The sequence below is a fragment of the Homo sapiens genome, chromosome X, assembly GCF_000001405.40.
Source record: "Homo sapiens chromosome X, GRCh38.p14 Primary Assembly".
NCBI classification, from domain to species: domain Eukaryota; kingdom Metazoa; phylum Chordata; class Mammalia; order Primates; family Hominidae; genus Homo; species Homo sapiens.
Window position 1 is genome coordinate 105,289,520 of NC_000023.11, and position 19,598 is coordinate 105,309,117.

At 37.0% G+C, this 19,598-nt stretch overlaps 1 protein-coding gene across 2 annotated transcripts in view, besides 1 other annotated feature; it reads left to right on the forward strand.

The window, feature by feature from the left end:
* The window catches only part of IL1RAPL2 (interleukin 1 receptor accessory protein like 2), a 1,201,631-nt gene that overhangs the window by 723,321 nt on the left and 458,712 nt on the right, over positions 1–19,598 (forward strand). The gene's annotated exons all lie outside the window — the stretch shown is intronic.
* Positions 9,716–10,452: an enhancer, noted in NCBI's record as "OCT4-NANOG hESC enhancer chrX:104543919-104544655 (GRCh37/hg19 assembly coordinates)". NCBI's record gives its function as "activates a minimal SCP1, AML or CMV promoter by ChIP-STARR-seq in primed H9 embryonic stem cells {active_cell/tissue: H9 hESC(primed)}" and the evidence as "EXISTENCE:reporter gene assay evidence [ECO:0000049][PMID:30033119]".

The following is a 19,598-nucleotide window of genomic DNA, read 5'->3' on the forward strand; positions in this document are numbered from 1 at the left end:
GTAGAGTTCCAGTTATATTTTGAAGATAGAACCAACAAGTTTTCTGATATATTGAACATGGGGTACTAGAATAAGTAATAAGTCACAGGCAAATCCAGATTTTTTGGCCTGTATAACTAGAAGTGTAGAGTTGTTGATTAATGAGATGGGGAAGATGGAATCAGGAGTTTGGTTTTGGACATTTGAGATGCCTCTTAGACATCTAAGTAGAAATGTTGGATGGGCAGTTGGATATGTGAGTTCAAGGGAGAAGTCTACCATGGAGAAATAAATATGGGAGCGAACAGCATGTAAGTTGTAAGCAAATCTATGATATCACTGAAGAATGTAGATAGAATAGGTTCAAGCTCTGAGCTGTGGGTACATGCCAGCATTAGAGGCTGGGGAGATAAGAGAGAAACAGTAAGGAAGATTGAGGAGGAGTATTCAATCAGGCAAAGGGGAAAACTAATAGGAAGTAAGTAAAGATAGTGCTCTCAAGAGGATGGGAGTGAAGGACTGTGTTGAAGCTGTTGATTGGTCATGTTATTTAGAAACGTGGTAGTTGCTAATTGACAGGATCTTGATCTGACAGGATCCAATCTGGGTTCCTTTCATTATACTGCATTCCTTGTTCAGGTTCTTGTCCTTAAGAGTATCTCTTCACTCCTTTACATAGAATTTACTAACAGCCTGTTGTGTGCCAGGCATTGTCCTAGACACTAAAACCCAAAGATAAATAAGATATGGTCTCTGCCTTTAGGGGATCCATGGTCTAGTAGAGAGATGAGATGCATTAACAATGATAATACAGCATGTATAGTGCTATAGTAGAGACACATACAAAATATTATGGGAACCCAGAACTCATCTTGGGTGTAGGTAGGAGGTGGTGGGAGAAGGCTTTTCAAAGGAGATGACTGGACAGGGATTTCAGTAATGAGTAAAGGTCCACTAAACAAAAGTGCAACTTATCCAGAAATACTCACAGAGCTGAAACATCTGAACATTATCTTGAAAGGTGGATTGTAATTTATCAAGTGGACAAGTTGAAGAAGGACTAGAGAGAAAGTCAAGGGCCAGATAATAATTCAGGGTCTTCTGTATTGGAGGAGTTGATGGTGACAAATTGGGAAGGGGGAAGAGAAAAGAAGGAGTGAAGCAAATAACTTCTTTATTTTCTGCTTGGATGATTGTGTTGGTAGTTATGCTAAAGTCTCCTAGGTTATCAAAGTTACAGTATTGAGTCTTTCAGAAGGAGTACAGGTCTCTTCCTCAAATTTGTTTTGAGTTGAGTGTCCTGACACTAGACAGGTGATTACTAAATAACTAGGTGCCTCACTTACACTTGATGGAGATAGATTTTCTTTTAAGTGAACCAAGTTCATGGAATTTCACTTTTCTAATAGGAACATTTCTCTTTTGCTAAGGCAAAAATGGGTCAAGTGCTGAGACACATGGCTCTGAAGGGCCATCAAATGAGATCCACAGCTGGGCCCTTAGCCCCTCATAAAGGCCATTTCTGCCTATTTAAAGCCTCCTCTAGGCTTGATCAAAATCAAAACCATTTCAAAATGTAATAAATTATTACATTTTGTGCTGAATTGCTACTTCTCAAAATCTCTTACATAGAACAGGATGTTTGAGAATTGAGTTTGTTGGAAGTTTTGTAAAACATTTTGTGCTTTGTAAAACAGAAATGAAAATATTACAGGACAGATATATTAGAGATATATCTTTTTAATGACAAAAGTCTTTTGTACTGTCTTTAAATACTTGTTTACTGTTAATCAACTATTTGAGAGAAAGGGAGGGGAAGCAAAAGTGAAATTTCAGTGTGAAATTTGTGTTTCACAATTTGTCTCAGAAACTAAATTGTAATGTTTTTTAAGCAATCATAATGGATTTGTGGCATTTATGAAATGATCACAAAAGTCATCAGGAATATGATAACCAATTCTCAAAGTTTGTTATTTTGTTCAGAGTTAAGTTTTTTTGTTTTGTTAAGAATTATTGATGAAGTCACTTAGCTTTATTAAGGAAGTGAAAAGAAAATTTATGTCAGTCTTTATTTGTTTTTGAATATGTAATACCCACACCCAGTAGAAGATCCAAACAATAAAAATATGTACATTGAAAAAATCTCCTTTCTGCCTCCAACTCCTTACCTAGATATAATCATTTTTTTCAGTTTCATGGATATCCTTCCATAAATATTCTGTTGGATGTAATAGTGATTCTAAAAGTGTAGCCCAAGGACTCCTAGGGCCTCAAAGACCTTTTCATGGGTTCTACAAGTTCAAAGCTATTTTCCTAATAATACAGTTGACCCTCAAAAAACACAATTTTGAACTGCACAGGTCCAGGTACATATGGATTTTTTTCAACCAAACATGAATAGAAAATACAGTATTAGTGGAATATGAAACTCACTTATATGGAGCACCAACTTTTCTAATAAGCTGGTTCCTCAGGGCTAACTGTGGGACTTGAATATGTGTGGATTTTGGCATATGCAGGGCGAGATAGGGGACAGTCCTGGAATGAATTCCCTGCATATACTGAGGGACAACTGTACTAATGAAATTAATAATGATATTAATATATATGATGTTTTGATATTGAGGTATCATAAAATGTATCAACATTTAGAACATCCATATAACTCAATGAAGTAGTATTTTCCAGATAACCAATGTATGTTGTTATGAAATTATGCATGTATAAAAGATCCATTCAAAGAGCAATATGGGTCAGTGGATTTTAATGTAGCAAGGTATACAAAGTTAATTGATATGATTTCACACTTGGTCTTAGCCAAAAGGCCAAGATGCAATAATTGATATGATTTCAGATTCCACACTTCAGCTAATCCTTAAGAAACTGCCACTTGTTGTGTTTGGTATAGTATCGAAGAAGATCATCCACACTTTTTTGAAAAGGCTGTTAAAATACTTCCTTATTTTCCGACTACTTATCTTTGTGGGACTAGATTTTCTTCATATATTTCAAATAAAATGATATATCACAACAGGTTGAATGTAGAATCAGATATGATAATTTAGTTGTCTTCTGATAAGCCAGGCATTAAACAGATTTTCAAAAATATAAAAACAATAACACTCTTCTCATGGCCTTTTTGCTTTTGCAAAATATAGTTTCTGTGATAAATATGTTATGTAATAAAATCATATAATTATAATTCATTATTTTAAGTAAATTATTAAATATTTTAAATCCCTCAGTTTTAATTTTTAATATAGTAAATACATAACCTATATAAACAAAAGCTTCTTAGTATTCTCTTTAATTTTTAAGAGTGAAAGCAGTCCTGGCCGGGTGCAGTGGCTCACACCTGTAATCCCAGCACTTTGGGAGGCCAAGGCAGGCGGATCACAAGGTCAGGAGTTCAAGACCAGCCTGGCCAATATGGTGAAACTCCATCTCTACTAAAAATACAAAAATTATCCGGGCATTGTGGCAGGCGCCTGTAGTCCCAGCTACTCGGGAGACTGAGGCAGGAGAATCGCTTGAACCCAGGAGGCGGAGGTTGCAGTTGCAGTAAGCCAAGATCATGCCACTGCACTCCAGCCTAGGCGACAGAGCACGACTCTGTCCAAAAAAAAAAAAAAAAAAAGAGTGAAAGCAGTCCTGAGACCAAAATGTTGGCCAACTGCTGATATATTTTAAAAAGTGTACATTTGGTTATTTTCTCTATCATTCTATTTGTGTTTATGTGTCTATATTTATTTTTATACACATAGGCAGTGTTCGTGCAACTGTCCTGTGACTTGGTTTTTGGGATTTAATATTGTTTGAGCATCATTTCATATCAGTAATGATAGATATTTCACTTTTATGTGACTGCATAGTATCCCATGGTATACACATACAGAATTCCTGAAAGGAGAATTGCTGGATCAAAGGTTATATGCTTTTTAAATTTGATAAGACTGCCAATTTGTCCTACAATTTATGCTCCCACCAGCAGTGACTGAGAATACCCGTTTCCCCAAATCTTTGTCAGCAGTTTTCCCTCAAATCTTTTGCTGCTTCCTGAGCATATAGGGAAAAAATTATATCTCATTATAGGTTTATTTGGTTTATCTTATTATGATTGGTGTTAAGCATGTTTTCATATAATTCAATATGGTTATGTTTTACTTTTTTGTAAACCATATGTTTTCACTTCTTTAAAGAGAACCCTCGCACCTTGGTACAGATAATCTTTCAATTTCTAAATATAATTCTGAAAAAAAAATAATGTGAACCTTCAACTTTGAATGGAATGACCTTGAGCTAAGTCCCTCAAGCTCTAAGGACCCTTTAAGCTGTGACATTAAGTCTCAAAACAATAACAGATACATTTGAGCTATACAAGAAGTTAGCTTAGCATGTTTACAACATAGTAATTGAATTGTTTGTAATATGATTTAACTAAAAGCAGAAAGTTGAGCAAAAGCAATTTGCAAACAATAGATGATAATGTAATAAGAAACATTTATTTCTATATGTAAATGATGTGCTGTTTCCTTTACCTGTCCTTTGTGAAAAACAATGAGGAACGTTATTTCTGTATCTGTCACCATTTCCCACAGTTCAGTGGACAAAGTTCCTCAAGATCTTCCAGTTTCCATTTACTAGAGCTCTGCTTTTTTTGGAGCTGAGGCAAGGGGAAATTTCCTTATACTTTTATCAAAAACCTTGAGGTTAATAATCGGAGTGATTTCAGAAATAAGCCTGTTCTGTAAGAGAATGGGAGTGTATTAGAGTTACTATCATGCTTAATATAATGGGACTTCCCATTCAACATAGATGTGAAGATTTTATAAAAATAGCCACAGCCACAGAATTGACATTTGTGTTTTGAGTCCCTTGTTGCAATTTAGTCAGCAGAGAAAAATACAACAAATGAAATTTTAAGGGTAGAGGAAGAGTCACAGCAACACATAAGATGGTCAGGGAAGAGCACTGCCTTTCATGGTCTGTTTGCTGTGGAACCTCCCATAACTAATTTCTGAAAAGTAAGCCAAATGAAAAAGTAAATGGTTTAACCTTTGTCTCTGGTTGACCTGTTTAGCTGACTGTGTTTGATGACTGGGAAAATTTTATTTATTTGAATACAATAGTGGAGAAGAGTGAATTGATTAATCAGTAAATCAATCAGATTTTACTAAGTGCGTACTATGTACTCAACCCTATGTTAGATGTTGTATAAGATGTAATACCTTTTTCCAGGGAAAGAACATGCAGTGGTAAGTAGTTGTTGAGCACATTTCAGGCACTATTCTAGGTCCTTTACACATGTTATTGCATGTAATGTTCACAGTAACCTTGTGAAGAAGGTGTAGAGTCAGTACTGTTATTCACACTTAAGGTCAAACACCCTATAGTTCTGTGTGTGGGTGTTGACATGATTCAGAGTGAAGCCAAGTAATTAGCAGCAGATACCTCATGGGGTAGATGGGCTAGAGTAGGTATTTTTCGATTGGTGAAGAAAAAGAAAAATTGGTCAAGACAAAGGCAACAATATGAGCTCATTATAGAGGAAGGGATAAGCAGTATATGTTTGTAGAATTAATCTAACAAGAACAAGTGTGTTAAGGAGTTTTGGAAAATGAGATTGGATAGGAAGGGTGAAGCTAAGTTATGAAGGACCTTGAAAGCCAGGACATATAATTTGGGCATTTTGGACTAGGCAGTACGGAACCATGAAAGGTTTCTGAGCAGAAAAGGAGTAACATATGGAAAATGTTTGTAGGCAGATTACTCTGGAAGTGGTAAATTTGGTGGCAGGGTGACTAGACCTGAGATTATTGAAATAGTTTGATGTGAGGTAGGTGAGTATCTTTTTAAATAAAAGCATTTAAAAGAAACAGGCTACTAAAAGCATACTTTCTCTAGGCTTTGAATTATTTGCTTTGGGTCGAATTGATTAGCTCTTGGTAGATGATTAGACAGGTGTAAAGTGAATCCTGTGACCTAGACATCCCAATCACTTAGACTAAATCTACGGCAATATTTTTCAAGCCATGAGTTACATGACCCATTAGTAGGTTATAAATCAGTGTTGAAATTTGCAAATAGTGTTTTTTAAGTGAAATAGAAAATTGAATAGAGTAGAAACTTTCAATGTGCCTATAGAGTGATAAGAAAAAGTGTGTTTGTGAAAAATTATTTCAGTCATTTGTGTTACATCTGTGCATACATGCACATTGGCTCATGATATAAAATATATTTATTACTATGGCTTGTGGTAAAAAAAATAAGTCTCTGATCTAGAGTATAGCACTGAATTACTTAATCCTTTTTCCTGCCATGTAAATTGTCAAAGCTTGCATGATTGATTTGAACATTAAGATAAAAACCCCACCACCTAGTTCAGGATGTCTTTACCTTTTTCCTGGCCCATTTCTAACCACCCAAAGTGATCTGTTTACCTTCAGTCTTTCCATACCAATTCATCTTATACCCAGCTGCCAGATCAGTCTTTCTAAGAGTATTTCTCACATCATGTCATTACCTTTGTCCAGAAAATACACTGGTCCTCAATCCATTTATTTAATATTAATTTAGCAAATCTCAGTTAAGCACCTAAGAAATGAAGTCCACAATCTTTGTTTAGTCACATATGAAAATTCCTTTTAATTCTTACCTCAAACTGTATTTCCAACTATGTTAGCACCACAGAGACCCCATAGATCAGCTTAATTGTACTACTTACTCTTCCTAGAATATATGCATTTTTCACTCTACTATACCTTTGTTCATGCTAATCCCCACTTATTGCCCTTGTCATCCTTTAAGGCCATGACTTTTATAATCATCTCAGCTGGACATAATTAGTTCCTCCTCTGGACCCACATAATACTTTTTGTCATTCATGTGAGACTCATCACATTCTGTCTTGCATTATATTAGTTGGGTTTATTCCCTTTTCTAGATTATAAACTCTTGAGAGTAAGGGTCACTTCTTGTTTATGCCTGCAATGTTAACAGTGCTTTGCAAAAGGTAGATGGTCACTATGCAGCTGCCAAATCAGTGAAAATGCTGAATTCATGACACAGTTCTGTCTTTTTCTTTCATTTAAGCAGAATGACATTATATAGTTCAGCAAACAATTTTCCCAATATTTTTCTTAGTATGACTGACAGCATTAGACAGAATGGAACAGAGCAAAGAGCACTGGGCTAGGAATCAGAAGACGTTGACACTAGTCTTGGCTCTGTCACCAAAAAATTCTGTCACCTTTAATATGCCATTTGATCTCTCTGGTTATTTTAGCATAAGGCACTCCTCCTTTAAAAATACGGGACTGAAATGATTAACTTAAGGTTTTTTCTAACTCTAAAAACATTCATCTTAGATTATTTACTGTGCCAGTTGCATTCACTCAGCAGATACTTATTGAGTCCTTACTGGGGATATAGCAATGATCAAAACTAACTATATGCTTTCATGGACCTGACATTAAGGTAGTGGAGACAAATAATAAATAAATGAAATGTAATATATAATGTAAAATAGTGGTAAGTGCTAAAATAAAAATAAAACAGGGAAAAGGGATGGAGATTGGCAAGGAAGGTCTCTCTGAAGAGGTGACATTTGGGCAGAGATCTGTATGAGGTGAAAGATTTGGGGAGAAGAGCATACCAGGCAGAGGGAGCTGCTATGCAAAAGCCCTGAGGTCAGAATGTGCTTTGCACTTTGGGGGAACAAATAAAAGTCAGTGTGCTTGAGTCATAGACAGCAAGAGGTTGAGTAATAAAAGATGAGGCCAGAAAAGTAGTAAAGGACTAGATCATATGAAACCTTTTCAACGGAGTAAAGAGAATGTTATTCTAAGCACAGTGAAAAGCCACTGGAAGATTTTAAGCGGGGTGTTTTAGTCCGTTTTCACACTGCTATAAAGATACTACCAAGGACTGGGTAATTTATAATGAAAAGAGGTTTAATTGACTCAGAGTTCTGCATGGCTGGGGGGTGCCTCAGGAAACTACAGTCATGGCAGGGAGGCGAAGGGGAGGCAGGCACCTTTCTTCACAAAGCAGCAAGAGAGCAAGTGAGAGTGGGGAGAAGCGCCAGACACTTATCAAACAACCAGATCTCATGAGAACTCCTTCACTATCACAAGAACAGGGTGGGGGAAACTGCCCCAATGACCCAATTACCTTCCACCTGGTTCCTCCCTCCACACCTGGGGATTATAATTCCAGATGAGATTTGGGTAATTACAATTCCAAATGAGATTTGGGTAGGGACACAGAGCCAAACCATATCATAGGGTAGTGATATGATCTACCTACTTTGCATTTAAAAATGATCGCTCTGGCTGTTGTGTAGAGAATAGATGGCAAGAGTGGAGGCCAGGAGACTAATTAGGAAGCTGCTAAAATATTCCCTTTAAGAGATTATCATTTTCTCTATGTGTGTGTGTTTCTAAATAGATTTTTGTCTTTTCTTTTTAAAATTTTTTAAAATTTTATTTTTAATTGACAAAACTTGTATGTATTTTTGGTATAAACATGTTTATATATATGTGTGTGTATCTACACACACACACATACATTGTGGAATGATAAAATCAAGCCAATTAACATATCCATCACCTCATATCCTTATCATTTTTTGTTATGAGAACATTTAAAATCTATTATTTTAGCAATTTTCAAGTATATAATACATTATTACTAACTATAACCACCATGCTGTACGATAGATCTCTGGAACTTAGTTCTCTTATCTAACTGAAACTTTGTACCCTTTAACGAGCAAGGAGATGTTGAATGATTAGACTAAAATGGTGACAGTGAAGATGGAGTGAAGTGAATAGATTGGGAATATAATGTGGAGGGAGAATGGACAAGATTTGTTAATGAATTGAATATGGCAGAGGTGTAGGAAAAGCGGGAATTAGAGATGACTCTTATGTTTGTCACCTAATCAACTGAGGGAGATGGTGATACCATATACTAAGACGGGGAGAATGAGGAGGAATAAGCTTGAGGGTTGAGGCTGGAGATTTAAACAAGAGTTCAGTTTGTGATATAAGTTTAAAATGTCTATTTCAGTTTTAAATGAAGAAATAAAAGATATATATGAATATGGAGTTTGGAGAGAAGTCAGGAGTGGATATGCAATCTTGAGGGCTTTTACTATTTAAATGACACTTAAAGCCATGCTACTAGATGAGATAACCTCAGAAATCATTCAACATTTTCAGACTGGGTAGGAAAAGAGTCAACAAAAGAGAATGAGAAAGAGTCGCCAATTAGGTGAAAGAAATACCAGGAGTATGGGTGTCACTGAAGCCAAAAGAAGATACTGTTTTGAGTTGAAGGAAGTGATCAACTCTAGCAAATGCTGCTGAGTTTGAATAAGTGGAAGACTAGGAATAGATCATTGCATTTGGCAACATGTAGGTCATTGGGCACCTTGACACAAGTTAATTTTGATGTGGTAGAAAAAATAGGCTAACAGAAGCAGGTTGTAAAGAGATGGGGAAAATGAGGAAAAGGGGACAATGAATCTATAATGAGAAATTTTTCTGTGATGGAGAAATCGAGGAGTTAGCTAAATGAAGATATGGGGAATCAAATAAGCTTTTTTGTTGTTATAATACATATAAGATCTCTAAAAATATGTTAGATCTGTTTTTAAGCTCTACTGAGGTTTAATTGACATAGAAAAAATTGCATGTATTTAATGTAGACATTTTGATGAGTTTGGACATATGCATGCTTCTACTGTGATACTGTTCCTATAACCATAATAGTTTTATTGCCTGATGCACACAGCAAGTCAGTACACTGAAACATCAGGTTGTAGCAGAGAAAGAGGTTTCATCATAGGGTCACTGAATGGGGAAATGGAAAGGAACCTCAAATTAATCTCCCCAAGGAGTTTGGAGCTAGGATTTTTAAGTGTCTCGGAGTGGGCTGAAGTGTGGAGATCATTGATTGGTCAAAGAGTACAGGGTGAAGCCATGGGACAGCAAGATGAGGAAGCTGTATTCTCATGCTAATCTTGTTCCTCTGTGGGGGTCTTCAAACTGGTTGCTGGAATTTGAGGTTTGAAAAACATCTTAAGCCATCCTCAAACAAAAGCCTTAAAATTCTAATGTCAGAGATCCTGTCTATAGGAACAATGGGGATACAAATCAATTTTTAATTTCCTATGACCCTAATGCCAGAAATCCTACCTATAGGAACAATGGGGTGCAAATGGTCAGTTATCTAATGCTACATGACTTTTAGCAACAAGGAAATGAGCAAGAGGGCAGCCTGATAAATGCTTAACTCTAACTATATTTCTGTTTGGAACGCGGCATGCAATTCTTGTCAACCCTGTAGGAATGATTTCAGTTCTGCTTTGTCTTGTTAATCCTCTATCCTGAGCTGTGATCAATAAGGAGGGAATTGGGTGATGACTTCTCTGGCTGTGTCTTGCTGACAAGGGGCACAGATAGGGACCATAATCAGGATTTGAGGAATAAAACTGCTTTGCAGTGGCCTGTAAATGGTCTTGAGTGCCAAGTCTAGAGTTTTGACTCTGCATGGCAAAAATGTCAGTTCTTGTTACTAGTCCTTGTTGTCTGTGGGAAATAGAAAAGAAATACAACAATAATTATAATAAAAAGAATTTGTAAGGAGGCCTGTATTAGGGCATTCTCACATTACTATAAAGAAATACCTGGGGGAAAAATACGTGAGACTAGATAATGTATAAAAAAAGTTTTAATTTGCTCATGATTCTGCAGGCTATACAGGAAGCATAATGGGTTTTGCTTTTGGGAAGGCCTCAGGAAGCTTCCAATCATGTCAGAAGGCAAAGTGGAGCAGGTGTCTTATATGACAGGAGCAGGAGCAAGAGAGAGGGAGGAGGTGCTACATATTTCTAAATAGCCAGATCTTGCAAAAACTCACTCACTATCATGAGACCAGCACGAAGAGGATGGTGCTAAACCATTCATGAGAAATTCACCCCAATGATCCAATTACCTCCTACCAGGCCCCAACTCCAACACTGGGGATTATATTTCAGTATGATTTTGGGCAGGGACACAGATCTGAACCATAAAAGGGACCAAAACCAGTTTCCCATTCCCATAAGAAGCCAGCTAAAGGATCATTAAGAGGGTTTGTGACATACATCTCTTGCCAAAATGCCATATTTGGGGGTATAGGTTTCTGAGCCCCGACATCCCCTGTCTGAAACTTCCCTAGAAGTTTCACACATTAAAAGCTGAGTTGGTGGAAAAATTTAGTAAGTAGCTGAGTGGCAAAGGATCCTAGTAAACCAGTCTCCCATTCCTGGAATAGGCCAGTTCCATTAAACAGCTGTATCTCATTTCAGGAGATGGCATTGCAGGCAAACTATAGTTTGTGTATCACAAAGTATGCTTGCAGTTACTCAGGAAAACAGTAGTAGCAATTTAATTGAGTATAAGTCAGAGAAATGGAATAAAAATTTGGTAATATAAGTTTGGAGACATGCTTAGAAAAGAATTCAGGATTCAAACTAAACTGTAGACAAATAAGAAAAACTCAAAATAATGGACACAGTATACTAATAAAAGGTGTACTGTAGTTTCTTTTGAAACATAATTTTTCTCTCTTCAGTGCCTCATTTCTACCAAATAAAAATCAGTAGGACCAACTTATTGGCAAAATAAGTTTGAGTCTTATTATATTTGGTTTGATTATTTGCATAGAGTGCAGCAAGAGTAATTATTGGTGATGTAGGCTTTTTAAATTATTTTTAATTTTTATTTTTTGTAGGTACATGGTAGGTATATACATTTCTGCAGTATATGAGATATTTTGACACAGGCATGCAATTCATAATAACCACATCATGGGAAATTGGGTATCCATCCCTTCAAGCATTTATCCTTTGTGTTACAAACAATCCAGTTATACTATTTTTGTTATTTTAAAATGTAAAATTATTGACTACAGTACCCCTGTTGTGCTGTCAATACTAGGTCTGTTAACCATCCCCATCTTCCCCCCGCCCTCCCACTATCTTTCCAAGACTCTAGTAACCATCCTTCTATTCTCTATCTCCATGAGTTCAGTTGTTTTGAAGTTTAGATCCCAACAATAAATGAGAACATGCCACATTCGTCTTTCTGTGCCTGGCTTATTTCACTTAACATGATGACCTCCCGTTCCATCCATGTTGTTGCAATTGACTAGATCTCATTCTTTTTTTATGGCTGAATAGTACTCCATTGTGTATATGTACCACATTTTTAAAAATCCATTAATCTGTTGATGGACACTTGGTTGCTTCCAAATCTTGGCTATCATGAATAGCATTGCAGTAAACATCAGAGTGCAGATATATTTTCCATAAACAGATTTCCTTTATTTTGGGTAGTGGGATTGCTGGATCATATGGTAGCTCTAGATTTGTCCTTTCAAGGAACCTCTAAACTGTTCTCCGTAGTGGTTGTACTAATTTACATTTCCACCAACAGTGGATGAGGGTTCTGTTTTCTCCACATCCTTGCCAGCATTTGTTATTGCTTGTCTTTTGAATATAAGCCATTTTATCTGGGGTGAGATGATATCTCCTTGTAGTTTTGATCTGCATTTCTCTGATGATCAGTGATGTTGAGTACCTCTTCATATGCTTCTTTGCCATTTGTATGTCTTCTTTTGAGAAATGTCTGTTGAGATCTTTTGCCCATTTTAAAATCAGATTATTAGGTTTTTTTCTATAGAGTTATTTGTGTTCCTTATATATCCTGGTTATTAATCCCTTGTCAGATGGATGGTTTGCAAATATCTTCTCCGATTCTGTGGGCTAGCTTTTCAGTTTGTTGATTATTTCCTTTGCTGTGCAGACACTTCTTAACTTAATGTGAACCCATTTGTCCAAGGCCTGCAGTGAGTCTTGCCTGGCTAACACTGCTGATTACTCAGGGCCCAAAGACTCTTTAGTCAGCAAGTGATGAATCCTGCCAGGACTTGGTTCTTCCCTTCAAGGAAGCTGATTCTTTCATGGTGCACAGTGTGTTTAGCAATGTCATCTGTGTGCTAGGGCATGGAATGGGGGCCTCAGGACTCTGCCTGGTACCCTGTTCTACTGTGACTGAGCTGATATTCAAGTTGTAAGACAAAGTCATCTTAATGTCCCCTCTCTTCTGAAGCAGAGGGAAGCAGTCCCTCCCAGAGCTGCAAGCTATGCTGTCTGGGTTTGGCAGAGGGGTGACACAAGCACTCCCTTGGGCGCTCTCACTAGATTGTCTCACTACCTTAAGTACCTTAAGTCCACTGGCTGTAAGCTCAGCACAGAACCAGGACTTGCCCAGGAATTGCAGTCCTTGTGGCCTAAACTGGTTTTAAAGTTTATTTTGTACCCCAGAGCACTTTAGCCCATGGTGACAGGGCTTGTTGAGACTTAGCTTCTGACCGCTGGGTTGGATGATTTGCCCCTGGCTAGGGCTTGTCTAAATGCCCCTTCCATGGGTACTGAGTTCTGCCCTATATTGCTTTCTGCCGTGACAGGGCATCACTGAATTCCAATGCAAAGTCCACAATCACTGCACTCTCCTCCCCAAACCACTTGATTCTCTCTCCATTTGACATGGTTGCTGCCAGGGCATGGAGGAGGGTTGGTGATTCAGGACTGTCTTTCATACCCTCTTTAGTGCCTTTTCCCTTAATATGATCTTAAAACCAGGTACTGTAATTGCGCCCGCAAATTAAAACCTTTCAGAGGAGACAATGATTTTTACTGTCCATTCAACTGGATTCCGCACAAAAAGAGAGGCCAGGAGGCCAACTGGGAAGGAATTCTTACCCTTTTACTGGCTTTTTGGGTTCCTGAATTCCTTCAACTGCAGCTTCCAGAAGAGCAGAGTTTTGACCACCCTGATCGCTAATTACTAAGGAAAACCATTTTCATTATTTTCATGGGTTCATAGGTGAAAGCCACTCAATTTTATAAGACACAAGGGATCCAATTAACATTCCCCATATCAGCAGAGACAAAATTACAAGATACACATAACAGAGACACAAACACCCGTTATTCTACTCAGTTTCCAAGTTTTAGCCAGGCAAAACAGACAAAACACCAAAATGGTTACTCCCAGTCAGGCCTGCTGATATTCTGCTAGTGATTCCTTCCAGCTTGCCCACACACAAATGGGGCAAGACAAAAACAAACACAAGGCCTCACAAGTCAAAATTCTGAAACCAGATTTCAGAACTGTGACCAGAAGGGTCCTGGCGTACTTCCCTCTAACAGTGTGCCTTTCGTTCTCCTTCCAATTGGGGAAAATCCCCTTAAACAGGGCCCTTCCTATAGGTTAGGGAAGGTCAACAGGATCTCCGAAGAGGTCACAAGACCTCTGAAGAGGCCAACAGATCAGAAGAATGGAAAGGAGATGTCAGTTGCACTTGGAAGTACTCACCAGATTCAGAAGACATCTTTCAGATTCAGAAACCATTTCTCTGCTGCAAGCAAATGTATGCAATGCCCTGCCAGCAAGTGAGGCTCCAGGGACAGCCCCTGGTTTAAAGAAGCCAGGCATCCACTTGGGCTTTCCTCTGGGCCACAGAAATGGGTGAGGGAGCACCAAGCCACAGCCACATAACCATGAGGGGTGTCCCTTTGTGGGGTTGCCACTAAATAGCAGCCAGAATATGTTCATTGCCCAATGCACACAGCAAGTCAATACACTGAGACACCAGATTGCAGCAGAGAAAGAGCTTTAATTGTAGGGTCACTGAATGAGGAGATGGGAGGGAACCTCCAATCCATCTCTCCAAGGAGTTTGGAGCTAGGATTTTTTAAGTGTCCTTGGAGTAAGCCAAAGTGTGGAGATCATTGATTAGCTGAAGAGTGAAGAGTGAAGTCATGGGACAGGGAAATGAGGAAATTGCATTCTCATGTTAGTCCTATTACTCTGTGGGGATCTTCAAACTGCTGGAATTTGAGGTCTGAAAAACATCTTAAGTAATAGTTAAACAAAAGTCTTAAAACTCTTGTGTCAGATTCTGTCTATAGGAACAATGGGGATACAAATCAGTTCCTAAACAGTCTTATGACCCTAATGTCAGAAATCCTACCTATAGAAACAAGGGCAATACAAATGATCAGTGTCCAGTGCTACATGACTTTTAGCAGCAATGAAGTGGGCCAGAAGGCAGCCTGGTAAATGCTTAATTATAACTATATTTCTGTCCAGAACGTGACATGCAATTCTTGTCAACCTTATGGGGAGGGTTTCATTACCACATCAAGGTACTAAATATATCCATTACCTACAAAAATGTACTTGTTTTGCTCAATGGATATTGTGTTAGTCTGTTGTTACACTGCTATAAAGAAATACTTGAGACTGAGTAATCTATAAAGTAAAGCAGTTTAATTGGCTCACGGTTCTGCTGGCTGTACAGGAAGCATGATGGCTTCTGGGGAGGCCTCAGGAAACTTTCGATCATGGCAGAAGGGGAAGCAGATATGTCTTACATGGCCAGAGCAGGAGGAAAGGGGGAGGGAAGGTGCTACACACTTTTAAATGACCAGATCTCATGAAAACTTTATCAGGAGAACAGCAGTAGAAAGATGGTGTTAAACCATTAGAAGCCACCCCCATGTTCCAATCACCTCCTTCCAGGCCCACCTCTAGCATTGAGTATTACATCTTAACATGAGATTTCAGTGGGGACTCAAATCCAAACCATATCAGGTATAAAGTCTGGGTTATGTGAGATGAATAAGTTCTAGAGATCTGCAGTACAACACAGTACTCATAGTTAACAGTACAGTATTGTGCACTTTGAAATATGCTAAGAGGATAGATCTCATCTTAGGTGTTCTTCACACACATACACACACACACGCACGGATCTATTTTTCAATATACTTTATGCCTTAAGCATTGTCAATGACACTTTCATCTTTAAAATATCTTTTTTCATTTTTCTTTTCCTTTTTTCTCTCTATGTCCCTTCATTCCTCTTCCTCCCCACTCCTTTCTCTGTCTCCCCATCTCTCTCTTCCTTCCCTCCCCCAACTTTCTCTCTTTCGCTCTACAGTAGAAAAGCCAAAATTCCCATTTGAAAAGTTTTTGCTATTTTTTTCGAATGCTTAGCATTCCCTCCTGAAGGGGAATTCTTCCCAAATATTTGTGAAGGCACCAAATTTATGAGAAAACACAAACTGTAAACTACTCTTGCTGGATAATAAGGTTGAGCCTTTACTATGTCTAATATTCCACACTGGAGGGTAAATAATTTAATTTATAAAATTTAGAAATATTTTATAAGAGCTTAGGATACAAAATTAAATGGTGGACCTGTAAGGGACATCTGCTCGGGGCAGAGAACTATTCTTTTTCCCCTTTCTCCCCGTCATTATTGTATTTATCAAGAACGATGGGAAAATAATTTTTCAAAATCCAGGGTTTTTTAAAATTTTAAATATTTTTCCATTTATGTCTAAGGAATTGGATGATATTCCTTATTATTATGCAGGTTCAATTCTTATACTTCATTTTATAACTACTTCATTTTGTGTTGAAAGGTTTAAAGCATGATACAAGAAACACCTAAATACCATTCATGAAGATTCACAAATTTTATTGCAGAGGTTCACAATTTTAAAAAATATTTTGCCCTATTTGCTTTTTTATTTACCTATTTTAGATAGATAGGTATAGATAGACATCTAATTTGTAACATATATATTAATAACATATACTACATAATGTGTATTTTTTTCAGAAAAATCTTAAAGTTGGAGATATCATGCCCCTTTCATCATATAGACTTCAGTGTGTATTTCCCAAGAAAAGGAGAGTATTCTCATACAAAGACTCCAGTATAGTTTACAAAATCTAAAGATTTAACAGTGATATGTTACTTTCAACTAATCTGAAGTCTTTTTAAATTTGTGTAATTTTCTTAATCATGTCTTTTATAGATAGTTTTTATCTCAGTAAAGGATAAAATTTAGTATCACACATTTCTTAGGTACCATGTCTCTTTAGTTTTCTTTAATCTGGAATGGTTTTTGAGACTGTGTTCCTTGATATTGAAATTTTTGGAAAGTATAGATCAACTATTTTATAGAATGTCCTTCAATTTGATTGCCTCATGTTTCCTCCTAATTAGATTCAGGTCATACATCTTTGAGAGTAACACAATTTAAACGAAGATTGTGTTCTAAAAAGTGCATCTTATTAAGAGGCATATATAAAGTGGGTTTGTCTGAACGTTGGTGTGGTTAGATTGGGTGTGGTGGCTCACACCTGTAATCCTAGTGCTTTAGGAGGCTGAAGTGGGAGGATCATTTGAGGCTAGACATTGTAGACCAGGCTGGACAACTCTATTAGTTCATTTTCACGCTGCTATAAAGAAATTTTTGACACTGGTTAACTTATAAAGGAAAGTAGTTTAATTAACTCACAGTTCCGCATGGCTGGGAACGCCTCAGGAAACTTACAATAATGTCAGAAGCGGAAGCAGGCACATCTTACACGGTGGCAGGCGTGCGTGCACATGCAAGAGAGAGAGGGTGAGCGCGAGTGTGAGTGTAAGTGTGCAGAAAAAAAACTACAATTTATAAAACCATCAGATCTCATGAGAATTCATTCACTATCACAAGAACAGCATGGGAGAAACTGTCCCCATAATCCAATCACTTCCCTCCCTCAACACGTGAGGATTACAATTGTCAATGAGATTTGGGTCGGGACACAGAATCAAACTGCATTGGCAACATAGTGAGACCACATCTCTCCCAAAAAAAAAATTTTTTTTTAAATTAGCTAGGCATGGTTACACATGCCTATAGTCCCAACTACTTGGGAAGCTGAGGAGGGAGGATTGCTTGAGTCCAGGAGTTCAAGGCTGCAATGAGCCACAACTGCACCACTGTACTCCAGCCTGGATGATCCAGGATGACCCTCTCTCTAAATATGTGTATATATATTTTATATTATATATATTATATATAATATATATATTTTATATTATATATATTATATATAATATATATATTTTATATTATATATATTATATATAATATATATTTTCTATTATATATATTATATATAATATATATTTTCTATTATATATATTATATATAATATATATTTTCTATTATATATATTATATATAATATATATTTTCTATTATATATATTATATACAGTACACATATATAATATATATGATATTGTTTGATTACTTGATGAAGGTAGTATCCACCAGTGTACTGTAACTCTTTTTTATTCAGTGAGTTACAATCCTTTATAATGCTTTTCTTGATGTGCAAATTATCTCAGAATTGGCCAGGACGAATGCTGTCAAACTGGCTCCTGTGCCCTTTTAACATGCCTCTATTCCTTGAGCACTTCTTTACTTTATGATGCAACAAGCTGTTCAAAGCTCATTTTATGCTTTCTCTGCTCTGAACATGAAATCAGCCATTTCCTCATGGAACTTTTGTTCATTTCAATAAGGAATAGTTTAGAAACTAGGATCTGGGCACTAGATGTCTGCATTCCAACAAGCTTCATCATGGTGACTAGGTCTTCTCAGTGAACAGGGTGAAATTTATCTGTTGATATATTAAAAACCATGAGTTTATACTCATACCTCCAGTTTCAATCCACCACCACTGAAAACATTCTAGTCTTTCCCCTTTCCCTTTCCATATTCATAACATTTTTCCTAAAATAGGAAAACATGGCTCCCATTATTCTCAATACATTTACTCATTTGTTTAAGACTAAAATATGCAGAAACCTGTTTTAGAATTGCTAATCCATTCCTCCATGATAAGGTAGCCCAATGAGTAGAATTCAATATGTGTTTACAGTTTATTTTTATTGAGGTAAAATGTACATGCCTTGAAATTGTTAAATCTTAAGTATACGACTCAATGAATTTTGTCAAATAAATATACCTATGTAACCCACACCCCTGTTAAAATTTAGAACATTTCAATCACTCCAGAAAGTTCTCTTGTGTCATTTCCAAGTCAATCCTTCTCTCCTTTCCAGAGGCACACATTATTCTGAATTTTTCCCCACGGATTGTTTTTGCCTATTCTAGAAGTTAATAAAATGGAATAATATACTATGTTTTTGTTTGTGTGTCTGTGAGATCCATTCATGTTATTGCATGTGTCATTCTCCTTTATTACTAAAGATCCGTCGTCCTGTTGATGAACATTTAGATTGTTTCTAATTTTGGATAATTATGAGTAAAGCTGCTATAAACACTCTTGCACAAGTCTTTTTATGAAAATATATTTTCCTTTCTCTTGAATAAATACCAAGACATTGAATTGTTGGGACAAAAAGTAGGTGCATGTGTAACTTAAACTGTCAAATATTTTGCCAAAGTTCTTGTATTATTTTATATCCCACCAGCAATGTATGAGAGTTCCAGTCACTCTATATCATTCCCACATTGGGTGTTCTTAGTCTTTCCCATCCATCTATTTTACATTCTAGTGGGGGAAAGAGGGTATCTCATTCTGTTTTAATTTAATTAAATTAATTAATTAATTAATTAATTTTTGAGATGGAGTTTTGCCCTTGTCGCCCAGGCTGGAGTGCAGTGGCACAATCTCTGCTCACTGCAACC